The sequence below is a fragment of the Homo sapiens genome, chromosome 8 (assembly GCF_000001405.40).
Source record: "Homo sapiens chromosome 8, GRCh38.p14 Primary Assembly".
In the NCBI taxonomy this organism is placed as follows: domain Eukaryota; kingdom Metazoa; phylum Chordata; class Mammalia; order Primates; family Hominidae; genus Homo; species Homo sapiens.
Window position 1 is genome coordinate 144444894 of NC_000008.11, and position 4688 is coordinate 144449581.

A 4688-nucleotide genomic window follows, 5' to 3' on the forward strand; every position below is an offset into this window, starting at 1 on the left:
CGCTACTCATGGTGGACGAGCTGTGCCGCCGCCCCAATTCCTCCCGAAATTCACACACACAGCCTGCTCACAGGCGCAACTATTAAAAACGAACGTAGTGTCCAGATAGACTGACGATAAATTCACGAGCATTTGGCTGTGGGGACGTAATAAGGTGTCAGGCGCGCTCCTCCTCCGCAGAACGCAGCTGGGTCACATTTGGGGACTCGGCCCCAAGGACTGTTTTGGGAGGGGAATGTGCTTTCCATAGTGAACAAGTATTGTTTCAGCAATGTGTATGCCAGCTGTATTCTCGGAAGAGTCAGTGAACCTGTGCTTCAGCTGCAGAAGTAGCCCGGGCACAGTGGCCCGCACTGTAATCCGAGCGCTATGGGAGGCCCGGTCAGGAGGATCGCTTGAGCCTAGCAGTACGAGACCAGCCTGGGCAACATAGTGAGGCCCCATCTTTCGTGTGTGTGTGTGTGTGAGACGGAGTCTCGTTCTGTCACCCAGGCTGGCGTGCAATGGTGTGATCTCGGCTCACCACAACCTCCGCCTCCCGAGTTCAAGCGATTTTCCTGCCTCAGCCTTCCAAGTAGCTGGGACTACAGGCGCGTGCCAGCATGCCCGGCTAATTTTTGCATTTTAGTAGAGACGGGGTTTCACCATGCTGGCCAGGCTGGTTTCAAACTCCTGACCTTGTGATCCGCCCACCTCGGCCTCCCAAAGTGCCGGTATTACAGGTGTAAGCCACCATGCCCAGCCCGATACCCCATCTTTATTTAAAAAAAAGAAAGGGAGGGAGGGAGGAAAAGAAAGAAAGGAAGAAAGAGAGGGCCGGGCGCAATGGCTCACCCCTGTAATCCCAGCACTTTGGGAGGCTGAGGCAGGCAGATCATGGGGTCAGTGGATCGAGACCATCCTGGCTAACACGGTGAAACCCCATCTCTACTAAAAATACAAAAAATTAGCCGGGCGTGGTGGCGGGTGTCTGTAGTCCCAGCTACTGGGGAGGCTGAGGCAGGAGAATGGCGTAAACCCGGGAGGCAGAGCTTGCAGTGAGCGGAGATGGCGCCACTGCACTCCAGCCTGGGCAACAGAGCGAGACTCTTGTCTCAAAAAAAAAAAAAAAAAGGAAGAAAGAGAGAAAACAACTGCAAAATTATGTCTAGAATCCTGTGACATGGGGCACCCAGGCCTCTAAAATACCCTTGCTATCCCCCATTACCTTGAGGACCAAACACCTGCCATGCCTTGGGTATCTGACTCCCGGCTACACAGCACACCCAGCACTGCACTCAGGTGCAGTGGCTGGTTTCCCAGAGGCCCCAGAGGAGGCTGGGTGCACAGAGTCCAACTGAGGAGCCTCAGGAGTGGAAGATAGATGAGTTAATTTCCATCGTAATTACAGCAAGTCGTTGGGCAAAACTCAGCCAGAGAGATCTGTTGGGGAGAGAGTGGTGTGATGCACTGACAGGTCCCTGGGTCCAGTAAAGGCTGCTGGAGCCCTCCTCAGGCTGACGGCAGAGCGCTGGCCTCCTGGCGTGGCCCCTGGACTGGGCAGATTTGGGCCTCGGTGCCTCCAAGGCTGCAGGGGTGGGACCAGGCCAAGCCTGCACACCTGTGCAGTCACAAGCTGCAGGAGGCAGGAAATCCAGGCAGGCCTGGGTGTGAGGACAGGTTGTGGAGGTCTGCACTGCCAACCCCTTGCCCATCCAAAGCATGGCTCTGAGCCAAGGCAACTACTTGGAGGGCAAGCTGGTGAGGTGTGTGAGGGGCACAGTGAGGCTTGAGGGAGGGAGTGGGGAGTGAGATTCAGAATCAGAGGACTCAGATGAACAGCTGAAGACAGGGTGGCTTGGACACCAGAGGGGCTCCCTGAGCTACCTGGACAACGATTAAGTATCCCCTTCAGCCCCAGGGTCCACAGGACAGCCCAGCTCCTGGAAGCCGAATTCCCCTTCAGAGACAACCCAATTTCTCTCTTTTTTTTTTTTTTTTTTCCGAGACAGAATTTTGTTCTTGTTGCCCAGGCTGGGGCACAATGGCGTGATTCTGGCTCACTGCAACCGCCTTCTCTCAGGTTCAAGTGATTCTCCTGCCTCAGCCTCTTGAGTAGCTGGGATTACAGATGCCCACCACCACGCCCAGCTAATTTTTGTATTTTTGTAGAGACAGGGTTTCACCATGTTGGTTAGGCTGGTCTCGAACTCCCAACCTCAGGTCATCCACCCGCCTCAGCCTCCCAAAGTGCTGGGATCACAGGCGTGAGCCACCATGCCCGGCTGACAACCCAATTTCTCTGTGCCTGTTTCCCCAGTAACCAGACAAGGTACACACGTCAGGCAGTGCTGTGCAGGGCTGCAGGCCTGGTGCAGATTGCCACAGGCTGAGGGCAGCAGGGGAGGCCAGCAGAGCCCAGAAGGCCCAGCTGTGTGTCTGTCTTCTGGTAAGGAAACACAGACAAAACATGGGTTGGAATATTTTTTTAAACTACAGTTGTTACATACAGAAAATATCCAAAGAGAACGCAGACCACAAAAGTGACACATAAGTCATTTCCAACAATGGTAAAAACACTTCTTGCTCTGCTCTTTAAAAAATTATTATTTTTTTGAGACGGAATCTCGCTTTGTCACCCAGGCTGCAGTGCAGTGGCACAATCTCAGCTCACTGAAACCTCTGCCTCCTGGGTTCAAGCGATTCTCCTGCCTCAGCCTCCTGAGTAGCTGGGATTACAGGCGCGCGCCACCACGCCCAGCTAATTTTTGTATTTTTAGTAGAGATGGGGTTTCACCATGTTGGTCAGGCTGGTCTCAAACTCCTAACCTCAGGTGATCCGCCCGCCTCGGCCTCCCAAAGTGCTGGGATTATAGGCGTGACCCACCGTGCCTGGCCTATTTTTATAAATGAGGGATGTGGTGCTCACCAGGGGGTGGGGATGAGACAAGGGAGGGAGAAGGGTGGGGCCTGGCTTAGGCTATGCCCCCCACATCTGCGGAGTGTGGACCCCCACGCCCCCATCCTCAGAGAAGACAAAGGAGCAGGTCGGGACGTCAAGATGTCTCAGGGTCTTGGACACAAGCCGTGTGTTTGGCGGTCCTGTCATGTGTGGCCCACGTTGGCAACGCCACGGGAAGCCCGTGCTCCAGTTCCCGGTGGCCGAGGACCCACCGTGGTCCTCCCAGGTGCCTGGCTCCCCCAGGCCATAAGGCTCAGCTGCTGCATGTCATGGTCACAGGGCAGATGCCTGCTGAGTACGCTGGGCCGCACTTGCAGACTTGAGGCACCCACATCCCACATCTGGAAGGGCCTTGTGTGGACACTGCCCTTGCCCTCAGGCCAGCCCCTCCCATCCTGAACTCCCACAGGGCTGGTTGCCCCGGGACTGCGGAGGTGGGGCTGCAGGAGCTCAACCAGCCCCGGGTCTCCTTTCTCCACGTGGCCCCCCAACCTGCAGAGACGTCTGCCTCCAGGCCCCTGGCGTCCCAGCCTGGCTGTCCCCATGAAGAACAAGCCTCCCACCTTCCCCACCCCAGAGACATGCTGGGGCCTGTCCCTCCGTTGAGTCAGTCTCTCACACACACAACCAAACAGGTGACAGGGCAAGCCCGCCCCACCCGTGCGCCCCACACCATCACCTTGGACCCAGAAACACTACGCTAGAGGGCGTCGGGCTTCCAAAGAGATGTAGAGCCATAGCCCAACCCTCTGCGCCTGTGGGTGGAGCATGAGGGAGGACAGCCCCAAAGCGCAGCCCTGAGGTGCCCAAGTTCACCCTGGTGGTGCCAGAGTCAGAGGCAGCTGCTCCCAAGGATGTGCTGGGGGCTGGGTGGGGTCTTTCTTTGTGGTCAGCAGAAAACCAAACATGGGGCCTTCCCATGCCCTTGGTGGCCAGGCCACATCAGCTCTGCAGGAGATAAGGCTCCGGCAGCGAGGCACTCCCAGCAGGCCACACGCCCTGGCCTGGGAGTAGAAACCCACAGCATTCTCAGAAACAGCTCCAGAAAGTTTCAGCCCGTGAGGGGCAGTGCGGCGGCCCGGGAGGGAAGAGCTGACTGGGAGGGTCATGCTGGGCTGTGCCATGGTCAGCCGCCCGGATGATGGCGCTTACATTCTGCCCCCAGTTCCTCTCCATTTCTCAGCCCTCGACCCGTGACCAGCAAAGCACAGGACAATGTGGGCCAGGCCCCAGCAGCCAGTGGGGGCGGGTTGGGCTGCTGTGAGGCAAGTTAATGCACCTGACTGGAGCAGAGGAAACCAGTTCTTTGGTATTGAAGCAACAAAAAGCTATCACGGAAGAGCCACATCTCCTAAGCAAAGGTGGGGGCGTCAAGCTGTATCCTTCCCAGTAGCCCTGGGAGTCCCAGGGGAAGAAAGGACCAGGGATTACCCCTCCAGGCAGGGTTCCTTCCCATCCTGTTAGGCCAGCCCTGCTCAGCCACCACGGGGCACATCAGGGGGCGGCCAGGGTGAGGATGGGAAGGGCCCACCTCCTCCAGGTGAGAAGCTGGGCTGCCCAACCTCTGACCTCTGCAGCGAGCCCTGAATGCAGGGCCAGCAGCAGGACCCCGAGAGCAGCATGGGGGACACACCTCAGACTCTCACCCAGCCAGGCGCCCAAGCACTGACCCAAGCTTTCCACACAGCCTGGGGACGCTGGGCCCTCAAGGCTGAATCTACAGTAAATAGACTCTTTCTCACTAAAA

At 57.2% G+C, this 4688-nt stretch overlaps 1 annotated feature.

Annotated features, from left to right (window-relative positions):
• Window positions 3-142: a silencer, noted in NCBI's record as "silent region_19686". NCBI's record gives its function as "represses an Ori minimal core promoter by ATAC-STARR-seq in GM12878 lymphoblastoid cells {active_cell/tissue: GM12878}" and the evidence as "EXISTENCE:reporter gene assay evidence [ECO:0000049][PMID:35858748]".